The sequence below is a fragment of the Homo sapiens genome, chromosome 11 (assembly GCF_000001405.40).
Source record: "Homo sapiens chromosome 11, GRCh38.p14 Primary Assembly".
In the NCBI taxonomy this organism is placed as follows: Eukaryota; Metazoa; Chordata; class Mammalia; order Primates; family Hominidae; genus Homo; species Homo sapiens.
Window position 1 is genome coordinate 86265940 of NC_000011.10, and position 16833 is coordinate 86282772.

Sequence of the window (16833 nt, forward strand, 5' to 3'; positions counted from 1 at the left end):
TATGGCCTATTTAGATGAAACCCAAAATGTAGTTTGTATTGTGATTTGAAATACAGTTTTCACTATGTTGCACATTAGGCAAAAATTGGATAAATATAATTTGGAGCTGTAATTTATATAAAACTTTTTGGTTTTGCATACAGGATTATGATCTTTTGGGTGAAAAAATAATGTCCTGTGGTATGGATCATTCTCTTAAACTTTGGAGGATCAATTCAAAGAGAATGATGAATGCAATTAAGGAATCTTATGATTATAATCCAAATAAAACTAACAGGTAACAGTTGTGGTATTTGAAACAATTTGCTATGTTGTGCTATTGAATATAAGTTTTATTTTTTCCCAAAATTGCTATATAAGCCCCAACAATGAGTTTAGAAGACCTTCTTTTAACTTTAAGGGACAATTTACATACTGTAAAATTCACCCCTTTAAGAAGTCCTTTATTTGCAGTGTTTGTGGCTTAGTTTTCAAAATCCCCTTTAAATTGTGTTGTCATCTTAACTTAGTAGCACATTTTACTTATTTGTATTTTGGTATGCATATGCTTGGCCTTTTAAGTTATAAATGTAAAAGTTTTAAATCACTTAAGCTTATTATGGACTAGGGAGAGTAAAGGACACTTTAGAATAATGTTAACTTTTTTTAAATGATGCTAATTCTAATTCAAGATGGTAAACCACAGTTTTAAACAATGGAGTTCTTAGCTCTAATTCATGATAATGTTTTTCCCTAAATGATGCTCACTTGATTAAATGGAGAGAATTCAAATGCAGGAGCCTCACTTCATGGTACTATAGGTTGGGGAATTTTGCAGTTTTCTTAGTATATTTTTGAAATGTCTCAATTCTTAATGCAGTAACTGTCTTTAGAATCTTATCAGGCTGTCATTAACACTTTCACTATAAACGTTGTATGTCTGCATGTTAACTTTGTTGGCACTTTTGTTTTAGCAAAGAGCTAGAATTCATTTTCTGGTTATCAAGCCAGATTGTTAATAGATTATTAAATTTGTAAGCATCAGTAAATATTTCAATGCACTAACATTCATCAGACCTAAGTGTCCTCTAAGAATTATTAAAAGTTTTACCTTTCTCCTTTAAAACACCAGGAGCTAGTAGGACAATGTTAAATTTATATTTTTAGATTATTTTCTAGATATCTGGAATAAATACAAACTATATTTCAGAGTTTTCAAAAAATAACAGTTGTACTCGTTTTTTCTTTGAGAGAGGTTTGGCCATACAATTATAGTATGTATTTAGCTAAAAAGCAATTAATATAATTATAGCAGAGTTAAGAATTTATATCAGATCACGAATAACATTTTAATGTTTCAACAAAATATCCCAGAATTTGAATTGGAAGGATTGTTTTGAGTTGCTCCAATCCAAAGTGCTTTTTTACATATCTGAGGGAAAAGGTAAAGAGAGGACATATGAATTGCCTAAGACAACTAATTCATGGCATATTATACTTATACAGCTATTTCTGATTTAAAACTGAGTATATTAGGAATGTTAAGTGTACTGTTAAATAACTCCAGAATTAATAGCAGCTTGTTTTGTTTCTTCTCACAAATATCTCTAATGAAAACAGTGTTGCCATTTAGTTTCCTAAATACAGAAATTATTTGGAAAAGTCCTAGGAAATTTTATTTTGTTCTATTTGTTTTTTTGAGACGGAGTTTTGCTCTTGTTTCCCAGGCTGGAGTGCAGTGGTGCAATCTTGGCTCACTGCAACCTCTGCCTCGCAGGTTCAAGCGATTCTCCTGCCTCAGCCTCCCAAGTAGCTGGATTACAGGCGGCCGCCACCATGCCTGGCTAATTTTTTTTTTTTTTTTTTTTGTATTTTTAGTAGAGATGGGGTTTCACCATGTTGGCTAGGGTGGTCTCGAACTCCTGACCTCAGATGATCCACCTGCCTCGGCCTCCCAAAGTGCTGGGAGCCACCGCACCCACCCCCACTTAAGAAATTTTAAATTCCTGTAAGGCATCATTTTCAGAAATTATTGCTCAAGGCAGGACTGTAGATGTATCTTTAGCAGACTTTGGAATGATGTTTAGTTGTTCCTGGAAAGATGACTATCTTTTGAAATAGTGTAGATATATTGACTTTCATAGATTATTAATGCTTAATTTTAAGGACTGAGTAGGTAGCTTAGTATATTTTCAGTGAGAAACTGATCAGGCCTTTATTATTGGTTAGGGTACCCAGAATTGAGGTGATTAATTTTGGGTTATATATAGTAAAACGCAGGAAACTACAATGTTTATAAACAAAGTATCTATCATAGGACAAAGATAAAATTGGATAATAATGGAGAAAAATAAACAAAAGTGGAATGAGACTTTAGCTTTCAATAAATAGATAAGGTGGTTGGTTATGTAGGAACACAGAGGAATTAATAGTCTTACATTTTGTTTTTCCAAGTTTTATAAATCCAAAAATGAAAAAGAGTATGATTCTACTATAATTTTTTCTTTTAACTTTTTACATTTCCATTCTTCCTTCAGGCCATTTATTTCTCAGAAAATCCATTTTCCTGATTTTTCTACCAGAGACATACATAGGAATTATGTTGATTGTGTGCGATGGTTAGGCGATTTGATACTTTCTAAGGTATGGTAACTGCAGTTAAGCTGTACTTCCATCGTGTGTGTGTGTGTGTGTGTGTGTGTGTGTGTATGTGTGTGCGCATGTTGGAACTTGGCAGGGAGCACTTTATGTAGTTTATTAAATTGAATGGCAGCTGGGAAGTTGCCTTTTTTAAAGTCTCATATTTTGATATATTTAGAAACTTGTTTTAAGAATAAAACATGCCATTGAATTATAATTCTTTGTGCTCCAGTAAGATGAGTATAGTTTTATAAGGTGATAGTATTCTCTGATAGTCAGTATTGTTACAAGATAACCAGTAACTAAAGCCAACAGAATTGGCTTTTGTTTTTTTGTATCTCTGTGACTATTTTAGTAAAATTTTATTTATAAAAACAGGTGGCTGGAGTTGGCTTATGGGCTGTAGTTTGCCAACCCCTGCCCCTGTTGATGGATTTATACAGATGCTCCTCAACTTATGATGGGATTACATCGTGATAAACCCATCATAAATTGAAAACGCATTTAATACACATAACCTACTGAATATCAGCTTAGCCCAGCCTATCTTAAATGTGCTCAGAATTAGCCTACAGTTGGGCAAAATTATCTAACACAAAGCCTGTTTTATAATAAAGCATTGAATATCTCACATACTGCATACTGCTAGCCCAGGAAAAGATCAAAATTCAAAATTCCAAGTACTTCAAAATTGCAGCTGTTTTGTACCATTTTGGTAAAGTTGAAAAATTGTAAATCAGACCATTGTAAGTCAAGGCCATCTGGGTGTGTGTGTGTGTGTGTTTGTGTGTCTGTGTATTTTTTTGTAGCTGATAATTTAGAGAAGCTATTGGTGATGTTACATGAGCATTTAGGATTATCAAATTTGGTGAAATTGCTGTCCGGTTTCTTTTCTTGATGTGAATTTCAGGCCACTTCACATTTTCTTGGGCAGAGCCTGATTTACTTTTTTCTTGGCTTTATGTGTAAACTGTTTTTTTCTTTTTTCTTTAAACTTTTGACCTTCAAATAACTTGATTCATAGGATGTTTCAAAGATTGTGCAGAGAGGTCCCATATGATCTTTATCCAGAATCCAAAGTTTATATATTATATAACTGTAATACAATATCAAATCCAGAAAATTGACACTGGTACAATGTGTGTGTTTAGTTTTATGTCATTTTATCACGTGAATTTTGTCATTTCAAGAATGGTACAGTTTGGGACCTTTTAAGATTGTTTTTTTCCACTCAAACCCTTGAGATCCATCCAGGTTGTTGCCTGTATCAGTAGTTCTCCTTTTTTATTGCTGAGTAGTATTCCATGGTATGGATTACCATAGTTTATGTAACTATCTATGGTAGGAGGTTTTGGTCATTTCCAGTTCTGGGCTATTGCAAATAAAGCTGCTAATCAGCAGTTGTGTCCAGGTTTTTGTGTGGACTTAAGTTTTCATTTCTCTGGGTAAATGCCTAGGAGGGCAATTGCTGGGTTGTGGTTAAGTTTGTTTAGTTTTTTAAGAAACTGCCAAACTATTTTCCAGAGTGGCCGTGCCATTTTACATTCCCACCAGCAATGTATGAGAGATCCAGTGTCTCCGAATCTTCGCCAGCATTTGGTATTGTCATTATTTTTTATTTTAGCTGTTCTGATAGGTGTGTAGTGATATCTCATCGTGGTCTTAATTTGCATTTCCCTGATGGCTAGTGATGTTGAACATCTTTTTCATGTGCTTATTTACCATTCGTATATCCTTTTTGGTGATGTCTTTTCATATCTTTTGCTCATTTTCTAATTGGATTGGTTTTTTGTTGTGTTTTTTTTTTTTTTTTAACTGTTGAGTTTTGAGAGTTTGAATATATTCTAAATATGAATCCTGTATCAGATACATAGTTTGCAAATATTTTCTTTCAGTCTGTAGCTTGTCATTTCATCCTCTTTAATAGGGTCTTTCACAGAGCAAATGTTTGTAGTTTTTATTAAATCCAGTATATTGATTTTTTAAAATTATTTTATGGATTATGCTTTTGATGTTTTGCCTGAGAACTCCTTACCAAGCTATAGACCTTAAAGATTTTCTCCTGTGTTCTCTTGTAAAAGTTTTATACTGCTATGTTTTACATTAAATGTGTAATCCATTTTGAGTTGATTTCCTTATGAAGGTGCGAGGTTTAGGTGGAAGTTCATTTTTCTCTTATAGATACTCAGTTGTTCCATCAGCATTTGTTGGAAGACTATTCTTCCGCCATTGAATTGCTTTTGCACCTCTCTCAGAAATTGTTTGGCTGTACTTACGTGGGGCTGTTTTTGATTTTCCTGTTCTGTTTCATCTGTATATCTGTCCCTCCACCAGTACTACATACACAGTCCTCATTATTGTAGCTCTATAATTATTCTTGGAATCTGATAGATTTTTCCCGCTTTTATTTTTTTCATAATTGTTTTGAGCTATTCTAATTCCTTTGTCTTTCTGTGTGTAAATTTTAGAATAATCTTTTCTACATTTCTAAAAATCTTGCTGGGAGTTGTTTTGAGGAGAAGGAGTTTTTAACTGGATTTGTATTAAACCTGTATATATAATTTCAAGGAGAATTAATATTGTGCTGAGTCTTCTAATCCATGATTGTGGTATGTCTCTTCATTTATTTACAACTTCTTTGACTTTTGTCATCAGCATTTTATAGTTTTTAGCATATAAGTCCCATTTTTGCTCTGTTAGATTTATACCTAAGTATTTTTTAAGCAATTATAAACTGTTTTATATTTTTATTTTCCATTTTTATGTGTTCATAACTAATATATAGAAATATAATTGATTTTTGCATATTGATCTTGAATCTTGTGACCTAGCTAGACTACATATTCAAGGTGTGTTTTGTGATTTTCTCTGTAGACTATCATGTGATCTGCAAATAAGGACAGTTTTATTTCTTCCTTTGTGATCTATATGCCTTTTCTTTTTTTGCCTTATTGCGCTGGTGAACTTTCAGTCCTGTGTTGAATAGCAGTGTTAGGAACAGATATTCTTGACTTGTCATTCAGTCTTTCACAATTAAGTATATTAGGGTTTGTTTTGTTTTGTTTTGTAGATATTCTCTATCAAGTTGGGAAAGTTGAGAACTGTTTCCTGTTCCTAAATTTTTGAGAGCTTTTTCATGAATGGTGTTTTGTCAAATGCTTTTTCTTCATCAGTTTATATGCTCATATGGTTTATCTTGTGTTGCCTATTAATATAGTAGATTATATTGATTGGTTTTTTGAATATTGATCCAGCCTTGGAACCCTGGAATACATTCCTACTTGATCATCCTGTGTAATTTTTTGTATTGCTGAGTTCTGTTTGCTAATATTTTGTTAAGGATTTTTGTGTCTGTATTCGTGAGGTATGATACTGGTCTTAACTTTTTTTTTTGGTACTGTTTTTTCTGGTTTTGGTATTAGTAATACTGACTTTATAATGAATTGGCAAATGATCTGTTTCCCATTTTCCAGAAGAGATTGTGCAAAATTAGTGTGATTTTTTTTTTTTTTTTTTTGAGACGGAGTCTGGCTCTGTCGCCCAGGCTGGAGTGCAATGGCGCGATCTTGGCTCACTGCAAGCTCCGCCTCCTGGGTTGACACCATTCTCCTGCCTTAGCCTCCTGAGTAGCTGGGACTACAGGAGCCTGCCACCACACCCGGCTAATTTTTTTATGTTTTTAGTAGAGATGGGGTTTCACTGTGTTAGCCAGGATGGTCTCGATCTCCTGACCTGGTGATCCACCTGCTTCGGCCTCCCGACGTGCTGGGGTTACAGGCGTGAGCCACCGCGCCCGGCCACTGTTGGTTTATTTTGCTCAACTTTTATCAGTTTCTTAAGATGGTAGCTTAGATTGTTGAGTTTTTGAGAATTTGTTTTATGGCTCTATTTTAGATATATTTGATGGGAGCTTGAAAAGAATATGTACTCTGTTGAGTGGAATGTTGTATAAGTGTTTAATTGGTTGATGATGTCGAATTCTTCTATATCCTTGTTCGGTGTCTACTGTTTTATCAACTATTGAGAGACAGGTGTTGAAATCTTCAGTTACAATGTGGATTTTTCTCTTTCTCCTTTCAGTTCTGTCACGTTTTGCAGTTCTATTGTTCATGCATTCACATTTAGTATTGCTATGTCTTTGGAATTGTCTCTTTTTTCATTACATAATCTTTTTTCAAACTTTTAATCTATGTATATTATAATTGAGTAAGTTTCTTGTAGATGATATAGTTGGGTCATTTTTTAAATCTATTCTGCCTATGTCTTTTAATTGGTGTATTTAGACCATTTATATTTAAGCTTTATATCAGTTATTATTTTAAGTCTGCCATTTTTCTTTTTGTCTTTTTCATTTCTCTCTGAGTTTTTTCCCCCCTAACTTTCTGGGTTACATGAACAGTTTTTAGAATTCCATTTTTATTTCTCTATAGTAACTCATTAGTCTACTATATTATCAGCATTTTACAATATTTTTTTTTCTCCAGAAATAAAATCTCACTCAGTCACCCAGGCTGGAGTGCAGTGGCACAGTCTTAGCTCTCTGAAGCCTGAAACTCCTGGCCTCAAGCAATCCTCCTGATTCAGCCTCCCGAGTAGCTAGGACTAGAGGCATGCACCACTATGCTCAGCTAATTTCTTTAATGTGTGGAGGTGGGGATCTTGCTATGTTGCTCAGGCTGGTCTTAAACTCCTGGCCTCAGGTGATTCCCCTGCATTGGCCTCCCAAAGGACTGGGATTATGGGCACAAGCCATTTGAGTGAAATTTAGAATGCTTCCTTCCCTTTACATCACTTTATTCTTCTCCATTTATAATTGTCTTAAATATTTATTTGTATTTGAGAACCATATCAGTTTTTTTGTTCTTCAACCATCAAACATAATTTAGAAAACCCAAAAGGAAAAGGAGAATATTATATTGACTCATTTTGCATTTTCTGTTGTTCTTCCTTACTGATAAATTCAAATCTTCTTAATTAATTTTCTTTCTGTTTCGAAAACTTTCTTTAACCATTCTTTTAGAGCAGGTCTGCTGTTAACAGATTCTCCTAGTTTTTCTTTATCAGAGCATGGCCTCATTTCTTCTTTATTTCTGAAGGATGTATTCACTCGATATAGGATTCTGGATTCACAGTTATTTTCTTTCAACACCTGACAAATGTTTTTGCTCCCTCTTTGGCCTCCATAATTCCGATGAGAAATTTGCTGTCACTGGAATTGTTTGTCCCCTGTAGGTAAGATGTTCTTTCTGTCTTACTGCTTTCAGGATTGTTTTCTTTGCCTTTAGTTTTCAGATTGAGCATGAGTATATTTAGTTTGAGGTTTGAGTGCGATATGACTTGATGTGGATTTCTTTGGGTTTGTCTTGTTTGGGGTTCACTGACATTCTTGAAGAATCTGTAGTAGATTGATGTTTTGTCCCAGGTTTGGAAAGTTTTCAGCCATTACTCAAATTGTTTTTCAGCCCTGCTCTCTTCCCTCATTTTGGGACTCTGATTATATGAATGTTAGATCGTTTGTTTGGTCCCTAGGACTGTCTTTTTTCTTTTTTTTTTTTTGTTCAGATTGGGTAATTTCTATTGTACTGTCTTTAAATTTACTGACTCTTGACCCTCTTCTCTTTTGATATTGAGCCCATCAATTGAGTTTTTTATTTGGGTTATAATAGTATATTTTAGTTATAAAACTTCCAGTTCATTCTAAGTATGTTTGCATTCATTGAAGCATTTTTATATTCCTGCCTTAAATCTATGTCAGATCTGACATCCATGTTATCTCAGTGTTGGTATCTATTGATTATCTTTTTAAAGCTGATTTTTGTCTTTTTAAAAAGTTGATTTTTATGATTCTTGGTATGAAGAGTGATTTTTGATTGAAACCTGGGTATTTTGGGTATTACGAGACTCTGGACCTTATTTAGATCTTCTCTTACAGCAGGCTTTCTCTGATACCTTTTCAGCTGGGGAAGGGAGGCGCATTGTGTTGTGCCAGATTGGGGTGGAAGTCTGGGTTCCCCACTCGGTTGACCTTGTGTTGGTGCTTCATTACTGCTCAGTCGGGGTGGGAGTTAAGGCTCTCCGTAGGCCTCAGCTGATACCACCCTAGCTGGGAAGGGCCAGGATGCCTAATTACTGCCCCCCCTAGTGGTCTCCATTTACACTCTGGGTAGTTGGTGGTGGCTTTACCAATGAATGGTTATGAATGTCCTAACTCTATTAGGCCTCCTCTGATACCACCCTAGCCCGAGAGGAGGCGGGTCACCCCATTGCTATAAGAGGTACAGGGAGAGTCATGGGGTAGGCACTTGGGGTGCTTAGTTACAACCTGAGCATGGGTTTTCACTGGTTCAGATGGAGGTGGGTCCACAGATTTTTCTAGGGTGTTTGGCTGGAGTAGAGCATTGTTGTCTGAAAATTTTGTCCTGTTAGGCTGCTACTTTTTTTGGTTCATTGGCTAGAAAAAGCAGGCTTTTATTGTTGTTGTTGTTGTTGTTGTCTTCACTCATTAGCATTTGTGAGTTGCTGCCTTCTCTCTTATCTAGTCTGGAATACATAAGGCAAAAGAAAACCCGGGAAACTCAACGGTTATCGTTTGTGTTCCAAGGTTTCTAACTTGTTTGCCTTTTCTCTACCTTTCCAAGTCTTATGTTTGCTTTGTGTATGATACTCCGACTTTTAAGTGGACTTACAGGAAAAAACACATCTGCTACATTGTTCCACCAGCAGAAGTAAAAAGCTATTAGCTTTTTAAAATTTCTGCTCTTAGAACTTAGATCTCTGGAAAGGATTTCTGAATTTTAGGTGGTAGGCTGAACTGAAATATATTGGTGGTCTCAAATCTGGCTCTGCATCGGACTCACTAGGAGAATGTTAGAAAAATAGATTTCCTAGACCTCACCTTCAGAAATTCTAAATCTGGCGCAAGGCCCTGGGAATTGGTAGTTCTAAAAAGCTCTTAGATGATTTTGAAGTGCAGCCATCCATTAGCTCTGGCAACATCTTTTTACCTCACTTTGCTTTAGTTTTTCCATCCAGGGACTCCAGTACTTAAAAATTCTTCACCGGTGCAGTTAGTAAGAAGCACTTGAAGAGCTATTTTACAGTTCTTCTGCTTTGGCCTTTCTCTTAGAGACTCTGAATCAGTAGGGGCTGAGAGACTCTGAATCAGTAGGGGCTGAGATGAGTCTTTTGAGAAAACTCCACAGACTATTGATCCAATTTTGCATTTAGCCAAGAGTCATCACACTGGGTGGTTTCTAAGGTCCTTTACAGTTAAAAACTTGAATAATAGATGTCATATAGCACTAGGATTTAAAAAGTCTAAATAAAAAAGGTAGAGAAGAAAAATGTGTTGTCTCCTCCCTAATCTTCAAGTGGCCATACTATTAAATTATTTAAATGCCTGTGAACCCCACAGGGCTGCCACCTGTCACTATATTATGTAGGCTGTCCAGTAAAACTCTAGGGGCACTGTTCACTTACATGAGGATTTCTGAATCCTGGTGCTATTTAGTTTAGGCCAGATAATTCTTTTTTTTGTAGGGGGTTTCCTGTGCATTATAAGATATTTAGTAGCATCTTTGGCCTCTACCCATTAGAGCACAGACACATTGTCAAATGTCCCTTCGTGGGCAAACCACTGACCTAGACAGTAATATGAATAGTGCCCACAGTTTTGCAATTTTTTCTCATTGTATTCTTTACCACTTACTGCTTAGGTATGTGCATACAAATTTGATTTTATAGGATAGGAAAAGTATAAGTTTGAAGCCTATTTCAATCCTATCCCCATATGAGTGTCTTGATGTTAAACAACTGCTTTACTTGCCTTCGATTGCCCTATTTATAAACTGAATTCTAAGGCTATTTATGTGAGTTCATCAACTTTCCTAAGATACCTGTTGAGTACCTACTGTGTGGCACAGATACTGGATGAAGGAATAATAGTTAATAAGGTAAAGGAAACCACCTGTGATTAGAAGCGAAATGGGAGACTGCATGGGGAAAGATGAAACTAGTGAAGTAAGCAAGAGCCAGATTAATGCCGGATTCTGAAAAGCCATGTATTCTAATTCTGTGTGTTTGTAATTGACCTGTGCTATAAAACACTTAAAGTCTCTGGGTGTCAGAGTATCTAGAGCTGAACTTGGTTTAACTTGAAAGAGAAATGTTGACTTCCAAAATGAATATTTCAGACAATGTGATTCTTTTGTATTATCGAATTCTGTTGATAATCAGATTTCTTGTCCTTAAGTATGGTCATTGACTGTAAATATAAATGAATGTACATCACTGTACTTGATAGATGGATTAACCAGGTTCTAAGAGCTGTGAATTCCAAAACAATAGAAAAGCCTTGTTTTTACTTTGTAAGATTCAGTTCCTCATTAACATTTCTTTTTCTCATTTCTCTCTCTGTTTTAGTCTTGTGAAAATGCCATTGTGTGCTGGAAACCTGGCAAGATGGAAGATGATATAGATAAAATTAAACCCAGTGAATCTAATGTGACTATTCTTGGGCGATTTGATTACAGCCAGTGTGACATTTGGTACATGAGGTTTTCTATGGATTTCTGGCAAAAGGTATCAACATACTTTTACATTTTGAAATGATCTGACTTATGAAAGACCATTGTAATTCTAGCTTTTTCTGTTGTGTCCATGTTCTTTTTCCTTTACAAATCTACCCTGATGTTTTGTATTGATTACTTTGCCCTTTGATGTCATTCATCAAATACTTTGGTGTTATTCATTCTACTTTTGTGGCTCTGCATATGATCTGCAGTGCTTACTTTAAATTAAGTTGGCAGTTAGGTATCAATGGTGGAAATTAGGTGTTTATGTTCCATAACATAAACATTATCATAACATTACTAAGACTTAATGTTTTAGTAATTAGATTGTCAGTCTACCTATGTAACTGTTTCCTAGAGAAAAATCAGGATAGAAGACAGATAAAATACTAGTTACCTAAAAATTTAAATAAATCTATTGTTAGGATTTTCTGGTAACAAATTACTTGGGTATTTATTTCTGTAAGAAAAGTTTGGAAGGCTTTCCACAGCATTTGCTGTATTTCTTGAAGGCAGAAGAAAAAGTAAGTACCATGCTAACAATGTAAATTTGTAAGGCCCTTCATAAATTTGCACAATGCCTTCTTACTTGCTCAAGACACTTGTGATGTATTAATTGCTCTTATTCATATTTACGAATCAGGAGTATAAGACCCAAAGAAATAGCCAAGAGCACAGAGGCTGGAACTGAGCTTTTTCTGAAACAAGAAAGCTGTCTGAGGATTCCTCCAATGCTTTAGAACCTGGTAATTTTATTAATTTGATGTTTTTAAAAATATGTTTATACAGATGCTTGCATTGGGCAATCAAGTTGGCAAACTTTATGTTTGGGATTTAGAAGTAGAAGATCCTCATAAAGCCAAGTAAGTATTTAGAAATTTCTGTTCAAAATTTCAGGCTTTTTCTCCACACTTGTATGCCAATGTAGAGAAGATCATTTATATTTGCAGTGCCATCCTTAAGTCATTTTTAACATTTACTGTTTTCAGAGTTAAAGTTATTCTTTTTTATTCCAATAATTTTTGTTTTTCCTAAGTACCTTGGTGACAAGTCATTTCTTGTTTTTATACAAATTATGTAGTGCTTGTTGAACTTAAAATATATCTAAATTTTATAAAATTTGAGACTGAGCTCTTAGTGAAGTATATTCTGGTTTTAAGTGCTTTTCGTATGACTTGGAACATCTGCTTATTTTCTAATCCGCTGTTTTAGGGTAGACACTGACAACGTTATGTGTGGTCTTTAACCTGTTGTCATGTTTTTTCCCTAGATGTACAACACTGACTCATCATAAATGTGGTGCTGCTATTCGACAAACCAGTTTTAGCAGGGATAGCAGCATTCTTATAGCTGTTTGTGATGATGCCAGTATTTGGCGCTGGGATCGACTTCGATAAAATACTTTTGCCTAATCAAAATTAGAGTGTGTTTGTTGTCTGTGTAAAATAGAATTAATGTATCTTGCTAGTAAGGGCACGTAGAGCATTTAGAGTTGTCTTTCAGCATTCAATCAGGCTGAGCTGAATGTAGTGATGTTTACATTGTTTACATTCTTTGTACTGTCTTCCTGCTCAGACTCTACTGCTTTTAATAAAAATTTATTTTTGTAAAGCTGTGTGTTTAGTTACTTTCATTGTGGTGAAAAAAAGTTAAAAGTAATAAAATTATGCCTTATCTTTTTATAATGGTTGTTTTTTGTAGTTCTCTTAACCAGAGAAAGTTTTGTAATACAGAGATTAAGTATAGGCTCTAGAACTAAAGTGAATTCAAATCTTGGCTCTCCTACTACGTGACCTTGGATAAACAACTTCTCAATGCTTGGTTCCTTGTGTATAAAACAGGGATAATAATACTTGCCTTGGGGTTATTGTGAGGATCAAATGATTCGTTATGTGTGAGACAGTTAGAACAGTATTTGACATATAATAAGCCCTAAATGTATTCTGTGTTTATAATTATTGGAGATTATAGTTCCTATGGTTTTATATTTTTTAATGATTTCTTATGTAATAGTTTCATAAGTAATATTTAAAATTCTACAGAGTTAGAACCTCTGATAATGTTTAACTGTAACCTTTCTTTATAGTTTAAAAAATATTACTGCCATTAGATTTGGAACTAGGCCATTGGTAACCTTAGAGGAGATATCATTAGGGCAAAGGAGGAGAGGATATAGAAGTTTAAATGCAGTGGGTTGGATCATGAAAGAGATGGCAAGTATGTCCATGTAGTGAGTTGTTGCCCCTTTTCTAGAAGGATGTTACTGGCTAAGAGGGATTAAGTAGATTGAGATCATAAGGTTGGGAATAGTTGGTTATTTTGTCTCCAACATAAGGCACACTGCATTTATTTGTGGGCAAAAATTCCCTAAAGAGTGAAGACCAAGATCACATGTGGAGGGGTTAACTTGAAGCAGAGGAGTGAAGAAAGCCTGAATGATCATAAAGCTAAGGTTGGAGGTGAAATGAGGTGAGCCAGAGAAAAATACAAAAGACTGAATTTTGTCAGGTTTTTAAAAAGATTCATGAACTTGTTTCTATAAATATGTATATTTTTAAAGTTTAGTTTTGATATCTTGTACAGTGTTTGATACTGCCCCTTTTTGAGCTATCTCTGAAGCACAGTTTACTTCTCTGATAATAGTATAATGCTTAAGTCTGAATAAACAGGAAAACTTACTGCCTTTTACTGTCTTGGTCCAATGAACGCTTCAATTGTTTTTTAGAAATTTTAATAGGAACTTCAAGAAGTAAACCTTTATAGCAAGTAAATTCTTACGTACAGCATCACAAAAGACAAGGAATACTGTCATATCCTTTTAGCAAAATGAGATTGCCTAGGTTCTTGTTGCAAAATACCACATAATGAAATCCTTCCTGTTGCATGATTAACTGGGTGAGAATATCATCTTTCCTTTTGGTCCGTAGAAATGTATTATTCACTACTCCATTCTTGAGGTTTGTTTTTTAATTTTTTTGGAGACAGTCTCACTCTGTTGCCCAGTCTGGAGTGCAGTGGTGCGGTCTCAGACGTCTCACTGCAACCTCTGTCTCCCAGGCTCAAGTGATTCTCGTGCCTCACCCTCCCAGGTAGCTTGGATTACAGGTGTGTGCCACGATGCCCAGCTAATTTTTGTATTTTTAGTAGAGGCGGGGTTTTATCATGTTGACCAGGCTAGAATATCGAGTGTTAAAGTTAGTGCAGATAATGAAAGATCCAGGAGTCAGAACTCACAGGCCAGTTATCAGCCACATGTTTATACTCTATTTTTGCCCTCTCTCCTTTCCCTGAAATACTAAGGAAGTAACATCTCTTTTCCTAATGGATGTTATCCAGAGGCCCCAGTCACCAGTTATCTCATTAGCCTACAAAAACACATTATTTTCACTCAAGTGATCTCAAGGTTCTTAGAAGTTATATCAGGAAATGGAAATCAAGAAGAAATTATATTCTCAAGGGTCTTAGAAGTTGTATCAGGAAATAGAAACCAAGAAGAAATTATATATATGTCTTTAATTGACCATTGTGTATATTTATAGGGTACAATGTGATGCTTCATACATGTATACAATGTAGAATGAGCAAATTGGGCTAATATATCCTTCACTTTGTTCCTCATCTTAAAGGAAAAGCCTCCAACTTTTCACTAATGAGTATGATGTTAGTTATTGGCATGTCACACATGGCCTTTATTGTGTTGAGGAACATTCATTCCTTCTATACCTATTTTGTTGGGAGTTATCATGAAAGGGTGTTGAATTTTGTCAAATGCTTTTTCTGCCTCTATTGTGATAATGTACAGTTTTTGTCCTTCATTCTGGTAATATGGTGAATCACATTTATTAATGTGCATATGTTCAAACATCCTTGCATCCCAGGGATAAATCCCACATGGTCATGGTGGATGATTCTTTTAATGTATTGCTGAAGATGATGGTTTGCTATTATTTTGTTGAGTGTTTTTGTATTTACGTTCATCAGGGATATTGTTTCTGCTAGTGTCCTTGGTCTGGCTTTGGTATCAGGCTAATACTGTCCTCGTAAGATGAGTTTGGAAGTATTCCTTGCTCTTCATTTTTGGGAAGAATGTGAGGATTGGTATTAATTCTTTAAATGTTTAATAGAAACAGAAAAGTGCCGTCTTGGGCTTTTCTTTGATGAGAGACTTGGTGTATTAACAGTTGTAATATTTCCTCTTTCATTTCTGATTTGAGTCCTTTTTTTCTTATTAAGTGTTGCTATAAGGGTTTGTCAATTTTGTTTAGCTTTTTGTTTTTTCATTTTTTTATTTTCTATTTCATTTATTTCTGCTCTGATCTTTGTTATTTCCTTCCACTAACTTGAGGTTTAGTTTGTTCTTTTTCTAGTTCCTTGAGGTGTTGAGGTTTAGGTTGTTGGTTTGCGATCTTTTTTAATGCAGGCATTTAATGCTATAAACTTCCCTCTTAAAACTGTTTTTGCTGCATCCCATAAGTTTTGACATGTGTTTCCATTTTCATTTGTCTCAAGGTATCTTTATATATGTTTCTAGAGTCGGGGTCTTGCTATGTTGTTCAGGCTTAGAGTTCAGTGGCTATTCGCAGGTGCAGTTATAGCTGTCACTGCACCCTCGAACTCCTGGGTCCAAGTGATCCATTCCTGCCCCAGCTTCCCAAGTAGCTACGACTGTAGGCATGCATCACTGTGCCAGGCTTTCAAGACATCTTTCATTTTCTCTTGTAGTTTCTTTTTTGACCCAATAATTGTCCAGTATATTTCTTACACAGTGTCTTAGGAAAGATAAAACCAGCTTTGATATGTTGAGTATTATGTTTCCGAAAAGACAAGACAGGGTTGTTTTTCTTAACTTTATACTTGAAAGTTTCAAACATATAGAAGAGTGAAGAGAGTAGTGAATACTATGAACCAAGTCAAGCTTCAACAATTATCAATACATAGCCAATCTTGATTTATCTATACATCTACACCAGATTGTTTCGAAGCACATCCCAGACTTTATTTTAACTGTAAAAATTTACTCTATATTTCCAAGAAAGACTTTAAACAAAATATCAATACCATGCTCACCCTTTAAAAAGTAATTTCTAAATTATATATGCAGTTTATTTAGAAGTATAAAGAAAAAAGTAAAAACTACCTTTAATTTTTGTACACAGAAATAATTGCTTTTAGTGATGGGATGTATTTTGTGTGTGTAAGTTTAAAGAATTGTGATTGTCTGAATATATTGTTTATATGCTGCATTTTCAGATTCCCAGTAATTCTTAACAGATTATTCTGCTTGCATATCTTTTAATACATTTCCATGAATGTACCATTATCTATTTAATGCCTTGTTGTTGGACATGTTCATTTCTTCCAGATTTTTGCTATTATAGGTAGTATTTTGAATAACAGGCCAGTACACAAGTCTTTGTGTAACTCTCAGGCTCATTTTATAATTAGATAGGATATTTCTTTCTTATTAAGTTTGTACCAAATTACACTTGCCCCAACACATATGGTAGTACCCATTCCAGTTTTGTTGTTACTAGTTTCCTGTATATTATCTCTGCAGATCAGGGTGTTTTTTCTGTAAAGAGCTAGATAGTACATATTTTAGGCCTTGCCATACAGTCTCGTCATAACTATTCAACTCTGCTGC

At 34.9% G+C, this 16833-nt stretch overlaps 1 protein-coding gene and 1 non-coding gene across 23 annotated transcripts in view; both read left to right on the plus strand.

The window, feature by feature from the left end:
- EED (embryonic ectoderm development) overlaps positions 1-16833 on the plus strand; it is a 42863-nt gene that overhangs the window by 21187 nt on the left and 4843 nt on the right. For 5 of the 22 annotated variants that reach the window (NM_003797.5, NM_001440591.1, NM_001440599.1 and 2 more), the window contains 5 exons: positions 144-277; positions 2517-2622; positions 11041-11199; positions 11979-12052; positions 12460-12871. In NM_003797.5, the coding sequence (NP_003788.2) occupies positions 144-277; positions 2517-2622; positions 11041-11199; positions 11979-12052; positions 12460-12586 (600 nt within the window). In that variant the 3' untranslated portion in view covers positions 12587-12871. Of the gene's footprint in view, positions 1-143; positions 278-2516; positions 2623-4143; positions 4219-11040; positions 12872-16833 lie in introns of those variants that run through there. The other 17 variants (NM_001308007.2, NM_001440587.1, NM_001440598.1 and 14 more) reach the window with 12 other exon arrangements.
- On the plus strand, positions 12394-12459 carry MIR6755 (microRNA 6755). Its single transcript, NR_106813.1, has one exon. It is a non-coding gene; the product is annotated as a microRNA 6755 (primary transcript).